The sequence below is a fragment of the Homo sapiens genome, chromosome 11, assembly GCF_000001405.40.
Source record: "Homo sapiens chromosome 11, GRCh38.p14 Primary Assembly".
Classification (NCBI taxonomy): domain Eukaryota; kingdom Metazoa; phylum Chordata; class Mammalia; order Primates; family Hominidae; genus Homo; species Homo sapiens.
In genome coordinates this window covers 123,016,194-123,039,466 of record NC_000011.10, presented here as the reverse complement: position 1 = coordinate 123,039,466, position 23,273 = coordinate 123,016,194, and the positions used below count along the sequence as shown (strand labels likewise).

Below are 23,273 nucleotides of genomic sequence, written 5' to 3'. Positions count from 1 at the left end.
TTTTTTCTTTGTATTTTTAGTAGAGACAGGGTTTCACCATGTTGGCCAGGCTGGTCTCAAACTCCTGACCTCAAGTGATCCATCTGCCTTGGCCTCCCAAAGTGCTGGGATTACAGGCGTAAGCCACCGTGCCTGGCCTGGTGAACATTTATTGAACCCCTAATAGGTGCTAGGCAACATGATAGATTCTGAGGGTACAAAGGTGAACTTCCTGCAAAAAAATTGTTCTTAGTTTCTTATTAATAACCAGCATTTATAAAACACTATTTGCCAACTATGTGAAATACTCCACATGCCTTCTTTCATGTAATCCTTGCCATAATCCTATGAGGTAAGCTACATTGTATTCCCATTAACAAATGAGGAGACTATTCTGTCTGACTCTTCAATCCATAATGTTAAGCACCATGCAGTACCGTCTCCCTATATAGAACTTACCCTATTGGAATTTGTATGTTTGTTTGTTGTTTTGAGACAGAGTCTCACTCTGTTGCCCAGGCTGGAATGCAGTGGGGCAATATCAGCTCACTGCAGCCTCCGTCTCCAGGGTTCAAGCTGTTCCCCTGCCTCAGCCTCCTGAGCAGCTGGGACTACAGCCATGCGCCACTACACCTGGATATTTTTTTTTTTTTGTATTTTTAGTAGAGATGGGGCTTTGCCATGTTGCCCAGGCTGGTCTCAAACTCCTGACCTCAAGTGATCCACCAGCCTCAGCCTCCCAAAGTGGTGGGATTATAGGTGTGAGCCACTACACCTGGACAGAATTTACCCTATTGGAATTTGTAAATGGGAAGTTCCCAGAACAGACCATGTTCTACAGACTTGTGTATTGTGTGTCAAGGTATTGATGCTCTTTTGGATCCGCAAGAGCAACAAAATTACCCTCAGCATGCCTGGGTGCGGTGGCTCACACCTGTAATCCCAGCACTTTGGGAGGCCAAGGCAGGAGGATCACGAGGTCAAGAGATAGAGACCATCCTGCCCGATATGGTGAAACCCCGTCTCTACTAAAAATACAAAAATTAGCTGGGTGTGGTGGCACGCGCCTGTAGTCCCAGTTCCTTGGGAGGTTGAGGCAGGAGAATCTCTTGAACCTGGGAGGCGGAGGTTGCAGTGAGCTGAGATCGCACCACTGCACTCCAGCCTGGTGACAAAGCGAAACTCCATCTCGAAAAAAAGAATAAATAAATAAATAAATAAATAAATAAATAACCCTCAGCATATAAGAGGTGAGGACTGGCTGGGCGCAGTGGCTCACACCTGTAATCCCAGCACTTTGGGAGGCCAAGGCGGGTGAATCACCCAAGGTCAGGAGTTTGAGACCAGCTTGGCCAACATAGTGAAACCCCTTCTCTAATAAAAATACAAAAATTAGCCAGGCATGGTGGTAGGTGCCTGTAATCTTAGCTTTTTGGGAGGCTGAGGCAGGAGAATCGCTTGAACCCAGGATTCAAGTGGAGGTTGCAGTGCAGATCACGCCACTGCACTCCAGCCTGGGCAACAGAGAGAGACCTGGTCTCAAAAAAAAAAAAAAAAAAGGTTCATCATGCCTGTCATCACAGTCATCACAGCCTAGCTAGCACACAACTGAAACCTTGCTATTTAAATTATTTTATACATTTTCTTTTCCTTTATTTAGGACTCTTGTTCCCTTTGTGATCTTGGCTAACTACCAGCTTCCCCGAACCTCCAAAGCTTCAGCATTTTTCAGCTGTGTTAAAGAGAAACAAGGAAGGAGAAGCATCCTACCTGAGCTTGTTTTTTCTTTAATTAGTATTAATTTTGACAAGTTATAATCTTATGTAATTAAGGGATACACAGTGATGTTATGATCTACGTATACAGTGTGGAATGATTGAATCAAGATAATTAACATACCCATTACCTTAAATATTTATTTATCCCTCCTGTTTAACTGCTACTTGGTACCCTTTGATCAATATCTCCACATTCCTCTCACCTCCCAACCACCGTTCTACTCTCTGGTTTGAGTTTGATTGTTTTAGATCCCACAGATAAATGAAAATATGAGGATTTTGTCCTTCTGCGCTGATTTAACTTAGCTTATTTTTATTTATTTATTTATTCTGAGACAGAGTCTCAGTCTGTCACCCAGACTGGAGTGCAGTGGCCTGATCTCGGCTCACTGCAACCTCCGCCTTCTGGGTTCAAGCAATTCTCCTGCCTCAGCCTTCTGGGTAGCTGGGAGTACAGGCGCCCGCCACCACGCCCAGCTAATTTTTTGTATTTTAGTAGAGACAGTGTCGCTCAGGCTGGTCTCGAACTCCTGAGCTCAGGCAATCCGCCCACCTCAGCCTCCCAAAGTGCTAGGATTATAGGCGTGAGCCACCATGCCCGGCCTCACTTAGCTTATTGTCCTCCAGGTTCATTCATGTTGTCGCAAGTGACAGAATGTTCTTCTTTTTAATGACTGTTTAGTACTCCATTGCTTATATGTACCACAGTTTCTGTATTCATTCATCCCTTGATGAAGCCTTAGGTTGATTTCACATCTTGGCTATTGTGAATAATGCTGTAATGAACATGGAGTGCAGATGGCTCTTTGACATAGTGATTTTTTAAAAAAATTATGACTCCAAATGTCTTCTTTTTTTGTTTTGTTTTGTTTTGTTTTGTTTTGTTTTTTGAGACAGAGTTTCACTCTTGTTGCCCAGGCTGGAGTGCAATGGTGTGATCTTGGCTGACTGCAACCCCCGCCTCCCAGGTTCAATCGATTCTCCTGCCTCAGCCTCCCGAGTAGCTGGGATTACAGGTGCTCACCACCATGCCCAGCTAATTTTTTGTATTTTTAGTAGAGATGGGGTTGGCCCATGTTGGCCAGGCTGGTCTCAAACTCCTGACCTCAGGTGATCCACCCGCCTTGGCCTCCCAAAGTGCTGGGATTGGAGATGTGAGCCACCACGCCTGGCATTTTTTTTTTTTTTTTTTTGAGACAGAGTCTCACTCTGTCACCCAGGCTGGAGTGCAGTGGCATGAACTCACTGCAAACTCTACCTCCTGGGTTCAAGTGATTCTCCTGCCTCAGCCTTCCAAGTAGCTGGGATTACAGGTGCGCACCACCATGCCAGGCTAATTTTTGTATTTTTGGTAGAGACGGGGTTTCATCATGTTGGCCAGGCTGGTCTCGATCTCCTGACCTCAGGTGATCCACCCGGCTTGGCCTCCCAAAGTGCTGAGATTGCAGGCATGAGCCACCACACCCGGCTGTAAGCTTCATTTTTTTATTTAGCTTTCTGACTGTGCTTGTGCCTTCAACACTTTCGCAATGGTTTTCTGCCGCTCGATAAGGAAATCACTCTTGATCCTGTCATGAACACACCTAGAACACACACAACCACCGGAGGCCCTGCTGACATGTTTTTTGTTTGGGGGCAATCTCATAGGAACTTTAGGTCTCACAGCACAAACTTCAAAATGAAGTCTTCCTGGACACATGCCCACATGCGGATTTTGGTGCTTTCCCAACCTTCCTGGTATAAAGGTAAACAATTCTATTACCAGGTATTCGGGACAGCCTAGTTTTGTTAGAGACTGAATTGTAGGAAAGCCTACGGCAGTATGTCAAATGCTGGACCATTCCGAGTGCCTCTAGACCACGTCCCCGGAAGAGCAAACATACTGATTTCAAGTCCTTAGGGTATATACCCAGATGTGGGATTTCTGGATCATATGGCAATTTTATTTTTAGGTTTTTTTTGAGGAAACTTCATACAATTTTCCATAATGGCTGTACTAGTTTACATTCCCACCAAGAGTGGAGAGGGGTTCCCATTAAAAAATGGGCAAAGGAGCTTGAATAGACATTTCTCAAAAGAAAACAGGACAGGTGCAGTGGCTCACGCCTGTAATCCCAGCACTTTGGTAGGGCGAGGCAGGTGGATCACCTGAGGTCAGCAGTTTGAGACCAGCCTGGCCAACATAGTGAAACCCCGTCTCTACTAAAAATCCAAAAAATTAGCTGGACATGGTGGCGCACACCTGTAATCCCAGCTACTTGGGAGGCTGAGGCAGGAGAATCACTTGAACCCAGGAGGCAGAGGTTGCAGTGAGCCGGGATGGCGCCACTGCACTCCAGCCTGGGTGACAGAGCGAGACTCCATTTCAAACAAACAAATACAAACACCAACTAATAGATGAGAAAATATTCAACATCACTAATCATTAGGAGAATAAAAATTAAAACCACAATGAGTTCTTACCTCAAACATGTCAGAATGGCAGTATCAAAAAGATGAAAGATAATATACACGTTGACAAGGATGTGGAGAAATGGGCTAGGGTTTTGAAGATTGAGATCAGAAATAGCAGACTCCTTGGGATGCAGTGTGGAGGTAACAGGAGGTATCAGCTTGGGTGACCCTCAGGACCTCTGTCTGTGCTAAGTGACTCAGCCCCTCACTTTTCTGCCATAGCTGGTTGGTTCAGAAGTAGACTCTTAACCTAAAGTTGGCAATCTTGCAGCCAAGAGGCCAGGGCACCAGACTTAGGAGCAGTTATGTTAATGACAAATTCAGAGAGACTTTGCACAATTCCTGATGCTGAAAGCCCCGGAGGTGGTTATCTACTGCTGTGTGACAAACTACCCCAAAATGTGGTGGCTTGAAACCACAACTTATTGCTTGTGATTCTGTGAGTTGGTTGGGCAGTTCTTCCTCTGGCCTGTTGTGGGCAAACTCATGTAGATACATTCATGCGGTGTTGACTGTAAGCTGAGCTTAGCCGGGAGCCTGGCGTAGCTTTCTTTCCACGTGGTCTTGCATCCTACTGGAGTCTAGACCAGACTTTTTCACACGGCAAAGGCAGTGTTCCAGGAAGGAGAAGATATGGCCTTTCTGGGATGCTGTGGCCCATGTCTTCTCCAGCATATTCTATCATTGAAAACATTTCATAAGGCTGGTCCAGATTCAAGGGGTCTACTTTTTGATGGAAGGAGCTGCCAATCATTGTTACCAGTGACAATCATTGTTTATAGATGGACTGTGGCTGATTAAAAGCAGATAAAAATTATTTGTGGCCTTTCCTATTAAAAGGTGAAGTACGAACACTTGAATCTGGGATGTCCTGATGGTGTTCTTTGGCCAGCAAAGCGTGGTGAGAGCGACGCTGTACGGCTGCCAGGATGGGCCTTGCAGTTCCACTCCTACTCTCTTGGACCATTGTCCACGGTGTGATGGGGAAAAGCCCAGTTTAACCTCCTGGAGGATGAAAGACCACGTGGAGAGAATGGCCCCATCTTCACAGCTTTCCCAGCTGAGTCCTGCCCCAGTCTCTCCACCAGCTGGATGTTGTCACCTGAGTGAGTTTAGAAGAAACCAACGGAAGAACTTCTAGCCAGTCCCTCCACACAATTCTGAGAAACAGGACACTGCTGCTGTATTAATCAGCTGTGTTTTGTGATGCTGGAATAGCTGATTAAAACAGCTCGCAGGGCCCTCCCGCGGCGGGTGATGGTTTGGCACTTCCTTTGATTCTCTGGCTACGCTCCTAACAGGTTGTTTTTCCTAACGAGTCATTTTTTTCCCCTCAAGTCAACGAGTACCTATTTCTGTTGCTTGTAGCTAAGACCATCTAAGAGAGCCCCAAGCCAAAGGAAGAAACTCAGGGTGTTCTGGACCCCTTGGTCCGGCACCCTCCCCATGTGGAGAGTCTCTTTCCAAAAAACAAAAACAAAAACAAAAAGTTAAGTTTTACCACATCATCTCTTTTTATTTGCCAAGATCTTTACTTAACATTTTAAAATTTATCCTTTATGTCTTTTTTCTTACATTGAAAATCTTGGTTCCTGACATTGTTACTACTTACTGCATTAGTCTACAATATGTAAAATAGTTTTGTTTTTCTTTTTTTGAGACAGAGTCTTGCTCTGTCACCAGACTGGAGTGCAGTGGTGCGATCTTGGCTCACTGCAACCTCCGTCTCCTGGGTTCAAGTGATTCCCCTGCCTCAGGTTCCCAAGTAGCTGGGATTACAGGCTTGCACCACCACTCCTGGCTAATTTTTTGTATTTTAGTAGAGTTGGGGCTTCACCATGTTGACCAGGATGGTCTCGATCTCCTGAGCTCGTGATCCACCCACCTCGGCCTCCCAAAGTGCTGGGATTACAGGCAGAAGCCAGCTCGCCTGGCCATAAAATAGTTTTAAAGTAATAAAACAAATATTATGACTACAATTAAGCTACCAAATAAAGTCTAAATTTTTTTTTTTTTTTTTTGAGACAGAGTTTCGCTCTTTTTGCCCAGGCTGGAGTGCAGTGGTGCAATCTCAGCTCACCACAACCTCCACCTCCTGGGTTCAAGCGATTCCCCTGCCTCAGCCTCCTGAGTAGCTGGGATTACAGGTATGTATAACCATGCCCGGCTAATTTTGTATTTTTAGTAGAGACGGAGTTTCTCCATGTTGGTCAGGCTGGTCTCCAACTCCTAACCTCAGGTGATCTGCCTGCCTCGGCCTCCCAAAATGCTGAGATTACAGCCGTGAGCCATAGCACCTGGCCTAAAATTTTTTTTTTAAGAGTCAGGGTCTCATTCTGTTGGCCATGCTGGAGTGCAGTCGTGCAATCACAGCTTACTGCAGCCTCAAACTGTTGGGCTCAAATGATTCTCCCACCTCAGCCACCCTGACTGGCTAATTTATTACTATTATTATTATTATTATTATTATTATTATTTTGTAGAGACTGTGGTCTTGGCTGTTGCCCAGGCTAGTCTTGAACTCCTGGCCTCAGGCAAGTGATCCTCTTGCCTCATTATGAGAAAGGGCTGGGATTACAGGTACAAGTCACCACACCTCGCCTCATTTGTGTTTAGAATATATTCCTCTATTGCTGTGCGCGGTGGCTCACGCCTGTAATCCCAGCGCTTTGGGAGGCCGAGCCCAGCGCTTTGGGAGGCCGAGGCGGGCGGATCACAAGGTCAGGAGATCGAGACCATCCTGGCTAACACGGTGAAACCCTGTCTCTACTAAAAATACAAAAATTAGCCGGGTGCGGTGGCGGGCGCCTGTAGTCCCAGCTACACGGGAGGCTGAGACAGGAGAATGGCGTGAACCCGGGAGGCGGAGCTTGCAGTGAGCCGAGATGGCGCCACTGCACTCCAGCCTGGGCGACAGAGCGAGACTCTGTCTCAAAAAAAAAAAAAAAGCAAAAAGAATATATTCCTCTATTACTGTGATCTAAAGTCACTTGAAATAACTATTTTCCCTGGGGGTTTACATATCCAACTAATTCATAGTAAATTTTTTTTTCATTTTTAATGTTTAGGGATTACTTTTTAAATGTAATACAATTTTCGAACATAGAAAACATTTCTATGTTTCCAAAATCAAATTTATATAAAGTATGTTTAAAGAAATCTTGTGGCCAGTCACGGTGGCTCACACCTATAATCCCAGCACTTTGGGAGGCCAAAGTGGGCAGATCACTTGAGGTCAGGAGTTCGATACCAGCCTGGCCAACATGGTGAAACCCTGTCTCTACTAAAATACAAAATTTAGCTGGATGTGGTGGCACATGCCTGTAATCTCAGCTACTCGGGAGGTTGAGGCAGGAGAATCACGTGAGCCTGGGAGGCGGAGGTTGCAGTGAGCCAAGATTGCGTGGTACTCCAGCCTGGGTGACAGAGTGAGACTCTGTCTCAAAAAAAAAAAAAAAAAAGAAATCTTGCTTTTATGTTCCTGCTGATCCTCCTCAACTTTTATTAGTTTTTAAAAATTTTTCCAACGTTTCTTTTTGCAAATATAAGCAAACACATATGTATATTTACACTTGTTTTCTCTTTTTTACACAAAAGGTATGATTCTGTCTCTCTCTATATATATTCCACATCTTTTTTTCACTTAATATATCCCAGATACCACTCTCCATCAGCATACACAGCTCTATCTCATTACCTTTTACAGCTTCAGAGTATTCCATTGCATCCATGTAACCATATTTTATTCAACTAGTTGTTGATAGACATTTGAATTATTTCCATACATTTGCAATTATAAATAATGGCACAGAGATTTACCGAGCGTATAAGTCATTTTGAATTTTTGCTCCTGTATCTTGGGATAGATTCCTAGATTTCTGGCTCAATGGGTAAATGCATATATAATTTTTTCAGATATTTACAAATTCCACTCTAATAAGGTGATCCTGTTTTGAGTCTTCAACAATGAATGAGTGCCCGTTTCCCCGTCACTTCATCAATAGAATATACTCTCAAATCATGGGATTTTTGCCAGTGACAGATGAAAAGTAGCATCTCAGTATGGTTTTATTTTGCATTGCTCTTATTATGAGTGAAACAGTATATCTTCTCATGTGTTGGATGCCATTTTAATTTTTTTCTGCTGTAAACTGCCTATTCAAATCTTTGGATGTACCTTTAAGTATATTGACACACAACATTTAATCTCAAAACTAGCCAATGAGGGTTAGCATCATTATTCCCCTGTATAAAGATGAGGGAATGGCAGATTAGAAAGTTTAAGCAATTTACCCAAGGTTACACAACTAATATGTGACTGAAGTCAAGCTGCCCAACTGTTAGGCCCTGTGGATTCTCCATAGATCTATTTCCAGGAGTAAAACTTGGAGCTCCTGTGTTTTGCTTTTAATAAAGGGTCAGTGTGTGGATTCCCATCTCTGAGACAGGACTGCTTCAGGAGGTCTGTCATGATTGGGCCTGAGGGTGGTTAGCTGTACTTGTAATGAGGCGGATGGTAACTCATGTGTCACCTAGGAGCACCCAGCAGACTAGGGCATTTTTGAATCTCAATGCAGAGGACAATGGGGAGAGACCTGCAACCTATTTAATTCTGTTAGAGAATCAGTGAGGTGCTTGATGAAGCCATTAACTGGGGTTCGTGTCTCCATTCTACTTATACGACTCCAGGAGGGCAAATGCTGATGGAAATTTATTGATTTCTTTTTCTGCCTTTACCGAATGGGTCAAAAACATGGTATAACGCTGCTGGTTCCAATTAAAATCACCTGTTAGCTTACAAAGGTTGGCCCTCTTCACCCTCCCCTTCCTCCCCCCATTTAAAAAGGGTTTAAAAGATTTTCATTTAATTGATTTGCTGTAAAAATGCCTTTTACAATTACCCAGATAAACTAGGCGTCACCTGTGGAGTAAGAGCCAATTTGAGCTGTTTATCAAGACTTCGCCTCTGGCCACTTCTCACCCTGGGATCTTGAGTCTCTGTATTGATAGCTTACATCTGTCAACATTGGATATTTTTAGTGGGCTGCAGAAAGCTTTTAGGGAGATGGGGATGGTGGGGCTGCATCTTTGAGCAGGTGAAGAAAGCATGATGGGGTTTTTTTGTTTGAAATGAGAATGCCCTATTATGCTGAAAATAAGTTCAGAAAATTAGCCCTGCATCCATATGCCTAAAGGTAATCAGAGTTGACCCCATTTAAATACCAGTGGGCCTCAGGAAATGGAAAAATGGGCAGTGAATAAAATTTGTCCAGTAATAAAATTTGCCCAGTTTCCCTTGGTTTTGTGTCGAGCTGTGCTTAATGTTAGGAAGAAGTTGAGGAGCCTCTGTAAGAGTTGTCTATGAAGTGACATTTGTGTCCTTTCAGCTGATATTACAGGAAGTAACAGGCAGGTGGAAACACAGAAAGAAAGACACAGAGACATTTATTCTAGGTCGTGTGTATTTCTGAAACTGTAAACTCAAATTCACTTGATTATGGAAATGGCGTTAGTTCTAGCTAAAAAAATTGTGGGCAAAATTAGTGCCAGATGGCTGGGTGTGGTGGCTCACGCCGGTAATCCCAGCACTTTGGGAGGCTGAGGCAGGTGGATAACCTGAGGTCAGGAGTTCAAGACCAGCCTGGCCAACATGGCAAAACCCTATCTCTACTAAAAATATGAAAATTAGCTGGGCATGATGGCAGGTGCTTGTAATTCCAGCTACTTGAGAGGCTGAGGCAGGAGAATCACTTGAACCTGGGAGGTGGAAGTTGCAGTGAGCTGAGATCTCGCCATTGCACTCCAGCCCGGGCAACAGAGGGAGACTCCGTCTCAAAAAAAAAAAAAAAAATTAGTGCCAGAAAACAAAAGACAAGTACACATGGGAGGGAAGAAGTAAATTCTAGAAAGTATAGACCAGTATTCTTGAAATTGATCATGGCAAAACTCCAGAATACATTACAAAAACAATGTTTTGTAAGTCTTTGAAAGAGGTTTGTCATTCATTTAGCATGAAGTATAATTTCCATTTTGTCTGTGATCAAACTGGCTCATCAGGGACGTGCTGTAGAAACAAGGTGATTGAAGAGAATAAATGATAGGTCATTTATGAAAGCTCTTGACACACAGCAGAGGCACAGTAATTACCAGTTGCTCTCCTTCAGGCATTCATAATAGTCATCAGAGGATGGGCGTGGTGGCTCACACCTGTAATCCCAGCACTTTGGGAGGCTGAGGCGGGTGGATCACCTGAGGTCAGGAGTTTGAGACCAGCCTGGCCAACATGGTGAAACCCCCGTCTCTACTAAAAATACAAAAATAAGCCAGGTGTGGTGGTGGGTGCCTGTAGTCCCAGCTACTCAGGAGGCTGAGGCAGGGGAATCGCTTGAACCCAGGTGGCAGGCTTCAAAACAAGCATATGAAAAGATGTTTAATATCATTGGCCATAAGGGAATTGCAACCCAAAACAACAATGAAGTACCATTACACACCAATCAAGATGGCTACAGTAAAAAAGACTACTAATAATAAGTGTTAGCAAAGATATTAAACATTTGAACTCCTCATACACTGTTGGTAGGAATGTAAAATAGTGCAGTCGCTTTGCGATTCCTCAAAAAGTTAAACATAGCGTTACCATATGACCTAGAAATTCCACTCCCAGGTATGTACCAAGAGAAATGAAAACACACATCCACACAAAAATGCATACATGAATGTTCATAGCAGTGTTCTTCATAATAGCCAAAAAGTATCAACGCTCCAAATGTCCAACTATTGAATGGATAAATAAAATGTGGCATATCCATATAACGGTATATTAGTCAGCCATAAAGTAATGAAGTACTGATACATGTTGCAACATAGAAGAACCTTGAAAACATTATGCCAAGTGAAAGAAGCCAGTCACAAAAGACCATATTGTATGATTCTATTTCTATGAAATGTCTATAGGCAAATCTATAGAAATAGAAAGCAGACAGGTGGTTGCCTAGGGCTTGGGGGAGGGAGTTTGGGGAGAAATATGGAGTGACTACTAATGGATATGGGATTTTGCCTGGTTGACAGAAATGTTCTAAAATCTATTTTGGCAATGGATGCTCAGCTGTGGATATACTAAACGCTATTCAACTGTACATTTTAAAGGGGTGAATTGTATGGTACGTGCCTAACATCTCAATAAAGCTGTTGAAAAATTCTCTTCTCATAGTGCTCATATCTTAGTGGAAAGCAAAAGGATTCAACCTTCTAAGGATCTTTCCAATCTGTCCACTTCTCTTTGTCCAGCACGTTACCATCTCCTCTTTGGATCACCACAAAAGCCTCCCGCCTCTTCTGGCTCCAGTGTGGCCTGCTGTGAATCTCCTCTATAAATCTCCACTTTGCTGCCTTAGAAATCTTTCTGAAGGGCCATTGAGATGCTCCTCCTGCCTCCATCTCACCACGGCTTCCACAGCCTTAAAGGTGAAGTCCAGGCTCTTTCACTCCACTGAAAAGGCCCTGTATGATCTGGTCCCTACTAATCTCTGACTTCATTTCTCACCACTCATCACTTGGGCCACGAACTCTTTCAGTTTTGCAAATCTCTTTGCCCTGTCTCAATTCCAGGCTTTTGCAAAGCCTGATTGTTCTGCCTTTTGGGTCTCAGCTCACATGCCACTTGTTCTGGAAGCTTTTTTCTTAAATACTCCCCGTCTTCACACAGTAGAGCCCTGCCCCCGCAACAGGTGTGTGCCCATTCATTTCCTAGACTTACTGCGTGCCAGGCACCTTTTTTTGTTTGAGACAGGGTCTCGCTCTGCCACCCAGGCTGGAGTGCAGTGATGTTATCGTGGCTCACTGCAGCCTTGACTTCTCAGGCTCAATTGGTCCCCCAGCCTTAGCCTCCCAGGTAGCTGGGACTATAGTGCATGCCACCATGCTCAGCTAATTTTTTTTTTTTTATTTTACTGTAGAGACATGGTTTTACCATGTTGTCCACGCTGGTCTCAAACTCCTGAGCTCAAGCGATTCACCAGGCACCATTCTAAGTGCAACGTTATAAAATTAACTCCTTTAATTTTCACAACAACCATATGATGTAGATACTATTATTATTCTTATTGTACAGATGAGAAAATTGAGGCATAGAGAGGTTAAGTAACTTTCCCAAAGTCACACAGCTGGTGATGGAGCACGGATTTGAACCCAGACAATATGGCTCTAGAATTTGTGCTAACTGCCATGTTCTGTGGCCTGAAATTGCTTAACACATCTTGGCACTTATTATACACTGTAATTGACTCTTTAATTATATCTCCATGTGACTTTTAGTTTATGGGAGGTAGGAATTATGTCTGGCTTTTTCATTATTGTGTTCCCAGCATGAGGCCTAGCCCATAGTTTTTTAATTAAAAAGAAGAATGAACAAACTAATTAATTAATTAAGATAGAGATATGTGAGATGTACAAGAAGAAAGTTATTGGATTTCTAGCTCATAGAAGGACAATGTTCTGATTAATTGATATTATGTTAAAAGTTCTCTAACGTACAGGATACATATTTCTTGAGAAATTATATTCTGGTTAAAGTGCCTTATACACAGTGGATGGTTCATAATTCTTGCTTAGTTTTTTACAACTTTTTATTGTAAATTATGTAAGATTTACAAAAATAGTACAAAGAATTTCTATATCCTCTTTACCTAACTTCTCCAAATGTTAACATATGATATAATAACAGTACAAAGATAAAATTGGGAAGTTAACATTACTACTTAATTCATTGCTATCTCATTTAATTCTCATTATCTGTTTCAATACTGTCCTTTTGTTTTTTGAGACAGAGTCTTGCTCTGTCGCCCAGGCTGGAGTGCAATGGCACGGTCTCGGCTCACTGCAACCTCCGCCTCCTGGGTTCAAGCAATTCTCCTGCCTCAGCCTCCGGAGTAGCTGGAATTACAGGGGCCCGCCACCATGCCTGGCTAATTTTTGTATTTTTAGTAGAGATGGGGTTTCACCGTGTTGCCACACTGGTCTTGAACTGCTGAATCTTGTGATCCGCCCACCTCGGCCTCCCAAAGTGCTGGGATTACAGGCGTGAGCCACTGCATCTGGACTCAATACTGTCCTTTTTATGATCCATGATCCAAACCAGGATTACACATTGCCTTTATTTATTAGCCTGTTTTAAGCTGGGACGATGTCTCAGTTTTTCTTTATCTTTTCCAACCTTGACACCTTTGAAGAGCAGCTGTCAGTTATTTTGTGGAACATCCCTCCATTTGGGTATGTCTGCATTCCTTGCAGACATTAAATTCAGGTTATGCATTTTTGGTAAGGATACCACATAAGGGATGCCATGTCCTTCTCAGTGCATCATATCAGGAAGCACACAATAAGCTTTAATCTTGGTTAAGGCTATATATGCCACATTTCTACATTGTGAAGTTATGACATTTCTCACTGTAATTAATAGGCATCTCATGGAAAAATACTTAGAGACTAAATAAATATCATGTTTCTGGTAATAATTTCATCCATGAATTTTAGCATCCACTGATACGTTCTTGAAAAACAATTTTTACTGTGATCTTTGCCATTGGTGACTTGCTATTTGCATCACTCCTTCTGCATTTATTAATTGGAGTATTACAGTAAGAAAGAACTTTCCTTTCTTCCTCATTTATTTGTTTATTCAATTTTTTATTTAAATAAGTATGGGCTCATGAATATTGCTTTTAATCTGTGAGTGAACATTATTATCTTTTAAACATTTTTGTTGTTCAGATTGTCCCAGATCTAGGAGTCTTACCAAGTTGGCTTGTGTCATTTCAACATGTGTCCATCATTTTTTGAGCACTTCCTTAGTTACTAGCTCCACAAGATGTCCTAAGTTCATTCTGTTCTTCCCTGCCCCAGCCGTATAATCAGCTATCTGTTTAAGTAGACCGGGTTCCTTTTTACTGGAGAATAATATTTAGAAAGAAAGATCTGCAGTGAAATCCCGTCTCTACTAAACACACACACACACACACACACACACACACACACACACACACACACACATTAGCCGGGCGTGGTGGTGGGTGCCTGTAGTCCCAGCTACTGGAGAGGCTGAGGCAGGAGAATGTCGTGAACCCGGGAGGCGGAGCTTGCAGTGAGCCGAGATCACGCCACTGCACTCCAGCCTGGGCGACAGAGCAAGACTCAGGCTCAAAAAAAAAAAAAAAAAAAAGATCTGGGCACTAGATGCTTACTGCTACTGGGGTGTCATTGTTTCCTCCCTCAGTGATCAGGGCTAGGAAATATACGTATGTGTACACTTAAACATGTCTTTACTTATTTCCCTGTCTCTCTATTAAAAACTATGACTTTGCCGGGTGCAGTGGCTCACGCCTTTAATCCCAGCACTTTGGGAGTCCGCGGTGGGCGGATCACGATGACAGCAGTTTGAGATCAGCCTGGCCAGCATAGTGAAACCCTGTCTCTACTAAAAATACAAAAATTAGCCGGGCGTGTTGGCGCACTCCTGTAGTCCCAGCTACTTGGGAGGCTGAGGCAGGAGAATTGCTTGAACTCGGGAGATGGAGGTTGTGGTGAGCTGAGATCTCACCACTACACTCTAGCCTGGGCAAAAGAGAGACTCTGTCTGAAAAAAGAAAAAACAAAAAACAAAAAACAAAAAAAACCTATTATTTTATATTGATACCTCCAGTTCCATTCCAGCTCTCAGGGTTCATTCTATTATTTCCCTTTCTTGTTTTTAATTCCTTTCTCTGACAGTAAAAAATTCGGTGGTTATTATTCACAATGTATTTACTTATTTGTTCAACACTAGATTACACATAAAACAGTTTTAGAATTTCCAACCTACAGCCTTGTGAAAAACAAATTTATTAAATACAGTAAAATTTGTGTGCTCTTTGCGTTTAGAGTACATAGTTAAATAACAGTCCAAAGTTACTTAATTCTTTTTTCTCACCTCTTTTATTGTGGTTATGTTATAAACCTGTAATAAATTGAATGCATTTTTTTTTCTTTTGAGACGGAGTTTCGCTCTTGTTGCCCAGGCTGGAGTGCAATGGCGCGATTTCGGCTCACCGCAACCTCCGCCTCATGGGTTCAAGCGATTCTCCTGCCTCAGCCTCCCGAGTAGCTGGGATTACAAGCATGTACCACCACGCCTAGCTAATTTTGTATTTTCAGTAGAGATGGTGTTTCTCCATGTTCAATGAATATTTTAAAACATAAATAGTATTTGTAAAAATATATTGAAAAACACCATATATATGGAACTGTCTTGCAGACAACTTGAAGGCTTGGAGAAATATCTCCAGGCTAAGTACTCCCAAGCCTGTAGGAGGGTTAGAACCCTCATCTCTTCCTACCTTACTCCTTTCACCGGATGTCCTTATCTGTTTCTGTATCACCTGTTTCCTTAGTCCTGTGGGAAGACATTCTCACAAGTGCTTTAAAAGTCCTGAACTTCACTCTAACCCACCTCCACTGAAGTTTCCATTGGTTTGGCCGCAGGTCAAATAAAGCCTTTTTGTTCCTTTTTTTTTGAGACGGTGTCTCGCTCTGTCGCCCAGGCTGGAGGGCAGTGGCGCGATCTCGGCTCACTGCAACCTCCGCCTCCCAGGTTCAAGCAATTCTCCTGCCTCAGCCTCCCGAGTAGCTGGGACTACAGGCGCACGCCGCCACGCCCAGCTAATTTTTTGTATTTTGTTAGAGACGGGGTTTCACCGTGTTGTCCAGGCTGTTCCCGAACTCCTGAGCTCAGGCAATCCGCCCACCTCGGCCTCCCAAAGTGTTAGGATTACAGGCGTGAGCCACCGCGCCCGGCCTTTTTTGTTACTTTTAATACCACTTTTGTCGCTGGGGAGTTTTCTACGCTATCAGCCCTACCTGGATCAAAGATCTCACTGCAATCCCTTTTCCTTTTCGCTTGTGCTGAAGATGGCCACCAGGTGGCACTTTAGAGTCTCCTTCGGCCCCATTTTGAAAGTCAGCTGCTTGGATTCGGTTGACTTTAGAAAGCAACGTATTCATGAGATGGGAAGAGATATTCTAGTTGCTTTTTAATTTTAGTTAAGAAATTTCCTGCCATTTAGGTCCAAGCAAAATGAAAAAAAGGAAGCACATTTCAGCCTCTGTCCTCTTCTTTGCCTAGGAATCTTGAACTCCTTCCATCTTCCTTTATAAAACTTCTCTCAAGGAAAAACAAACATACATATTTGTTGATAGCCAAAGCGGGTTTATCTAAGAGTGACTGAGCTCCTTGGTCTATCAGCCTCTGCAAAAGAAGCTCAGACAGGACATCAAGAGGCTGGAATCCAGGTAGAAACTCCACCACTGACTCTCAGTACTTCCTTGAGTCATTTAGCTTTTTTGGAGCTTCAGTTTTCTTATGTGTAAAACAAACGGATTGAACTCCATGCTCTCAAACACAAATCCCTCAGATGCCAGGTGGATACCATAAATCTATGAAGAGGCTGAAGAGGGGTTTAGGACAACAGGATCTTGTATCGACTAAACTAGAATTACAAAATGCATGCTCTATGAAATGCATTCAAATTTAAATTTTTAAAAAAAGATTGAAAAGACCAAACAAAATACCTCTGGGCATTGAAAGTGTTCAGAAAGCTCCTAGTGTGCAGTTTGTAGACTGGAGAATCTTTATCACTGAGGTTTCTTTTCTTTTCTTTCTTCTTCCTTCTGTCTCACTCTGCACCCAGGCTGGAGTGCAGTGGTGCAATCTTGGCTCATTGCAGCCTTGATCTTCCAGGCTCAAGGGCTCCTCCTGCCTCAGTCTACCAAGTAGCTGGAACTACAGGCACGAGCCACCATGCCTGGCTAATTTTTGTGTTTGTTTTTTTTTGTTGTTGTTGTGTTGGATTTTCACAGTGTTGTCCAGGCTGGTCTCAAACTCCTGAGCTCAAGCAATCCATACGCCTCAGCCTCCCAAAGTGCTAGGATTACAGTTGTGAGCCACCGTGCACAGCCTCACTCATGCTCTTCTATCTGTTTGAAATATTAGCCACTACCCCTGTTCTCCATCACCTCTGCATAACTAAATCCTAATTTTTTTCTTACAAAACCCACTCAAATGCCACTTACTCAAGGATGTTTCCCTTGATTTGAGTCTTTCTAAATTAAAAGATTTTTTTCTTTCTTCTGAATTCCCCTCCTTTTGGCCCTTATTGCTTTTTTAACTGTATTATTTATGTGCTGGTCATCAGTCTTTCACTACATATTTACTTTTAAGATCCTTGAGAGCAGAGTCCATGTCTAATTAATTTTATGTCTCCAACATCTGGAAAATCAGCCAACAAATATTTATTGAGTACCTAGTTGATTCATGTTTACGTGATTTTAGGCACTCAGCACAAAATTGTGGAGACTTAATAAGTGTTTGCTGAATTAATGGTATTAAATGGCCAGCCAGGATAGCAAAAATGAGAAAAGAAGATACTACCAAATGTTAGTGAACATGTGGAAGAATTGGAAATCTTATACTCTGCTGGCCCCTATAATCTTTGCACTCCAGTGTGTTCCAATCACTTTTTCACTTTTTTTTTTTTTTTTTTTTTTGCAGACAGATTCTCTCTCTGTCACCCAGGCTGGAGTGCTGTGGCACAATCTCGGCTCACTGCAACCTCAGCCTCCCAGGTTCAATTGATTCTCCTGCCTCCGCCTCCCAAATAGCTGGGACTACAGGTGTATCCCACCATGCCCAGCTATTTTTTTTTTTTTTAATTTTTAGTGGAGATGGGGTTTTGCCATATTGGCCAGGCTCGTCTTGAACTCCTGACGTCAAGTGATCTGCCCACCTCGGCCTCCCAAAGTGCTGGGATTACAGGTGTGAGCCACCATGCCCGGCCTCCCATCACTATCTTATGTTGCATGGCAAGAGGGATTTTGCAGATGTAATTAAGTTTACTAATCAGTTGATGTTACAATGGGAAGATTGAGCGGGCCCAATCTAATCCTATGAGCCGTTTAAAAGCTGAGAGTTTTCTTCAGCTGGGGGCAGAAGAGGAAGTCAGAGAGATTCAAAGCTCAAGAAGGACCTGATGCATTGCTGCTGATTTAACAATAGAGGGAGCCCCTGGGCCTGAGTGTGGCCTCTGGAAGCTAAGAGCAGCCCTCAGCTAACAGCCTGCCAGAAAATGGAGACCTCAATCCTATATAACTGCAAGGAACAATTCTGGCAACAACCTCAATGGGTTTGGAAGCAGAATGTTCCCTAGAGCCTCCCAGTGAGAACCAAGACCAGCTGACACCTTGATTTTGGCCTTGGAAGCAGAGAGACCAGTTGAGCCTGCCTGGACTTTTGACCTACAGAACTGTGAGATAATAAATGGGTACTGTTTTAACCTACTAAGTTTGTGGTAATTTTCTATGCAACAATTTCAAAACAAATACAGACACTCAAGCAGCTCTGTGGAGGGATGCACAGGGAGAGGAACTGAGGCTCCCGCTGAAAGCCAGCACCAACTTGCTGGCTATGTGAGTGAGCCACCTTGAAAACATGGATCTCTGTCCCCAGTCAAGCCTTCACATGACTGCAGCCCTGCTGACATGTTGACCACCACTTCATGAGAAGGTCTGAGCCAGAAACACCCAACCAAGCTGCTTTGGAATTCCTGACTCACATACATCATTAGAGATAAAAATTGATTATCATTGTTGTGAGCCACTAAGTTTTAGAGTAAATTGTTATGAAGCAATAGATCACTAATAAGCGCTCAGTAAGTGTTTACAGACTGATTGGGCACCCTAGGGCATTATAGCCAAGCAGGGAAATTTCAGGCACCTCTGATGTCTGGCGTCTCAGAATTCCAACCACACCTGCAGCCCTGTCCTCACTAAGGCAGATCCTTTACCTAACTACCTTTCCCTCCTGCCCTAAGTCCTTGCTGGAATTCCTGCCTGAGCTTCTCAGGGTCTAGACTTGCCTGAGTTGCTCTGAACATGCTTCAGTTTCCTTAGCATAAAAATGAGAGAAGGCGGGTGCAGTGGCTCATGCTTGTAAATCCAACACTTTGGGAGGGTGAAGTGGGTGGATCACCTGAGGTCAGGAGTTTAAGACCAGCCTGGCCCAACATGGTGAAACCTCATCTCTGCTAAAAAAAAAAAAAAATAGCCAGGTGTGGTGGCACACGCCTGTAGTCCCAGCTACTCCAGAGGCTGAGGCAGGAGAATCAATTGAACCCGGGAGGCAGAGGTTTCAATGAGCCGAAATCACACCACTGCACTCCAGCCTGGGCAACAGAGCAAGACTCCATCTCAAAAAGAAAAAAAAAAAAAAAGAAAGAAAGAAAAGAAAAGAAAAAGAGATAAAAATTTTTTTCTTAAAATGAGAAAAAACATTTTTACTTCACAAGAGTGTTGTAAATTAAGCAATAGTGGTATGAACACAAAACACGATACAGGCATTAAAAAGATAGAGAAAAGCTCTCTATAGACAGATGTGGAACACTGACCAAGACTGTTATCAATAACAGACAACAGATATATTTTTAAATGAAAAAAGCAAAAGGTTTCAAACTGTTAGGAAAACTATGTTTAGAATATCTCTGTTAGGAAAACTATATTTAGAATATCTCTGGTAATAAAGATTGCCTTTGTCTTGTTACCTAAGATTGACTTTCTTTTTTTCCTAAAGCAAGTAACTTTATTATCATTCCTTTAAAAAGAACCAAGGAAAATTCAGAACATATGTGAAACACAAACAGCTGTGGTTTAGGAGGTAAACAGAGGACCAACACAGCCCTGAAATGCAACAGCCTCTGAGTGGCCTGGGCCGCATGGGTGACTGGGGTTGTGTTAAAAGGGCAAGCTCCTGCCTCCTAGCCCTGAAGCCCCAGGAACCTGCCTTGAAAGACAAGCTCTCCCACTAATACTCAACTTGCAGGGTCTCGCCCTAACATCCAAGACTTGGTAGCATCTCCTTTCTCCCAAAACCCAGCTGGAACTCAACGAATCCTAAACGAAAACTCAAGAACGGCACACCAGATGCCACCTGTTGTTCGTCAGGGTCTCAAACTCCAGAGGAAATGCATTTGCCTGTCATGGGTTTCCTCTCTAAGGGCACCTGTCTGAACTTGGAGCTGTGCTTCCACTGGTGCCTCATGGGGCCTGGGCCTACTCTCCACCTGAAGTCACGCTCCTCTCTGTAAGACATCAGGTGGGGAGTTAAGTCCAAGAAGGTGGCAAGAGGCTCCTAAGCAACAGAGCATGCTCGTTCCTGGCAGGCATCTCCCATAATACCCTAGAGGGCTGGCGAGGCCGTGACAGCATAAGGACAGAGAAGGGGCAGAGGGGTGCTTGGAAGTGCTTATCACTCAGGGGAGCTGGCAGGCCTGGGACAGCAGGCAGTCTGAACAGTGCTGGAACAAAGACAGCTGCCCTGCACCCCTTGTCAAGCAGCTGCGGGTGATGGGAAGCAGCATGACGGCACCACCTCCTTCGTCGCAGGAAATGTTTTGTACTGGGCCGATGACTTCAGTTTTCCTTGCCTGGAGATGCCTTCACGAAGGAGGGGGACAGGGAATACAGGCAGGCATGTTGCAATTGGCATCTCCAGGGCTGCCAAGTCTTGGGTTCACTTGGGGCCAAGCCACTCCAGAATCCCATTCCCCTTCATGCCATTGAAGAAGAAGTTGTGAGGAGGGTCCTGCTGAGACAGGGCCTTCACAATTTCCTGTGCCAAAATCCCTCCAACCACCGCACACACTGGGGCCATCTCAGAGAAGAAGTACGTGATAAAGCGCGGGTCAGGAATAATACCCAGTGAGTCAAGCACATCGTTTCGTATCTGGAGCAACAACTCGGAATCTTCCCCGTGTGTATCAGAACTGGGATCTCTTCCTTTATCTGTGCGGAACTTTAGGAGCACTTGAAGGAGAAAGTGGTCGGAGGTCGTGCGCTTCAGAGCAGCCTTTGCTTTCTTACTGCTCCAGTCCACCTCCAGCGCTTCTTTAACGGGGCAGAAGACCACCTTCTTCTTGACCATCGTTGTCTCAGAAGAATCAAGTTTTACTCTCTTGGTATCAGGCCCATCTTCTACTCCTTGGCTAACTTTAGCAACTTTAGTTTTCTCCTCTACAAACTCATGTTCTCCTAGATTGGCAAATGTGTATCCATGGTAGCTAAAAACATCTCCTGCAAAGAACTTGATGCTATTTTTGTGACAGATCTGGTCAACCTTAACTATGACAGCCCTGGAGCAGCAAGTCAACACACAGCATCAAATTGAGTGAAAAATGACTCTGGTTTCTTCTCTATATCCTCAGTGTCCAACTTCACATCCACCATGGGGTTAAGATTCTGAGCTCGCTCCAAAGAGGCTTCAGCCCTATTTCGGCCAACAGACCCAATACGAATCAAGAACTGAGCTCCGGGTTCTTCTGGAGATATCTGTTTGTGATCCAGCATGGTCAGTCCTTTCACTCCTGCCAGGATGAGATTCTTGGCAATTTCAGCCCCGAGTCCTTTCATGCCTGCAAGAAGCACCTGGGAGGCCCGCAGCCATTTCGGGGCCTCCAGTCCCCAAAGGCAGATCTGCTGGTCATACTGCGCCTGCCTCCTCCTGGCTGATGCCACCTCCAGCCTCCTCCTTCTCCACCATGGTGCCGGCTCTTCCTGCCTCAGCTTCGGTCCCGCTCATGCCAACTGCCCGCCAGCCCCGCGCACCATCAACCCATTTTTTTTTTTTTTTTTGAGATGGAGTCTTGCTCTGTCGCCCAGGCTGGAGTGCAGTGGTGAGATCTTGGCTCACTGCAACCTCTGCCTCTTGGGTTCAAGTGATCCTCTTGCCTCAGCCTCCCGGGTAGCTGGAACCACAGGTGCGAGCCACCTCACCTGACTAATTTTTGTATTTTTAGTAGAGACGGGCTTTTGCCATGTTGGCCAGGCTGGTCTCGAACTCCTGACTCAAGTGATCCATCTGCCTCGGCCTCCCACAGTGCTGGGGTTACAGGCGTGAACCACGGCGCCTGACCCAAAATTGCCTTTTGAGAAGAGAATTGGATGGTTGGGGATGGGGAGGAGGGAGAGCTCTTTTTACTGTATAGCTTTTTGTACCTTTTGAATTGGGAACCACGTGCCATGTATTATCTGTTAAAAATAAAAATTCCTTCCTTGGATGGAGATGATAGGAGCTGACCGATTTTCAGCTCGCCTGCTCCCTCCCTTAACACATTCACATGCAGCTAGAACTCGCTCCGTACTCGCCTTCTGTTCCCGAGTATACTGGAACCTACAACCAAACGCTCTCCTTACAACCACATGGCTGCAGCATTTGTACAAAGGCAACGGTGCATCTGCTGCACTCACAGACATCCCCCGCACAGACCCAACGAGCATGCAGTCTTGTGTGTATGTGTGTGCTTGTGTGTACATATATCCATGTGTGCCTTTGACCCAGCCCCTACCCTCTCCCTTTATCCGTATCTGCTTCCTGGGTGTGTATACCTGGGTGGAGGTCCCTAATTACAAGGTGAAATAGGTTAAAAGTCTCCTACTCTGAAGCACTAAATGGGCCTAATTACAAGTGACTGTAAAACTCTAATTATAAGAGGACACATTAGTTGGAAAAAAAAGGAGAAGGCAGCAGAACTGAAAAGAAAAGACCTGAGTGACACATGTAGCCCCCTTAGACAGTTGAGAAAAAGAGGCTTAATTGCCCTTTGATAAAACTGGGGCAGTGAGAAAACAGTGGGAGGGGTGGGGAGGGGCCAGTAATCAAAGGAGACTCCTGCAGACAAGACCTCTCCCCAGGGAGCTCTCCCCGCCACCCCACCATTTCTCTCATAACTGTCACTTGCCTTCCACTGCTGGTGGGACAGAGGAGGAGGAAGTTGTTACTTGCATCCAGCTTACTCCTTCATCTACTCTCTGAGCTTCCTCAGGAATCCCAGGTCCTTGGTCCCCTTCCACCTATCAAAATCCATTCTCTCAGGTCCCACAGGAATGGCCTTGTGAACAGGACACACATTCTGATCCTGACCTAGCTACTCACTAGCTCTGTGACCTTTGTGAGGCACATACCCTAAATAAACCTGTTTCATCAAT

General features: G+C 44.1%; 2 pseudogenes across 1 annotated transcript; both read right to left on the bottom strand.

The window, feature by feature from the left end:
- RPL34P23 (ribosomal protein L34 pseudogene 23) lies at positions 3,230-3,634 on the bottom strand (annotated as a pseudogene).
- SAE1P1 (SAE1 pseudogene 1) lies at positions 19,856-21,901 on the bottom strand (annotated as a pseudogene). Its single transcript, NR_027288.1, has one exon. The product of NR_027288.1 is annotated as an SAE1 pseudogene 1 (transcript).
- Positions 21,902-23,273: the final 1,372 nt, after the last annotated feature.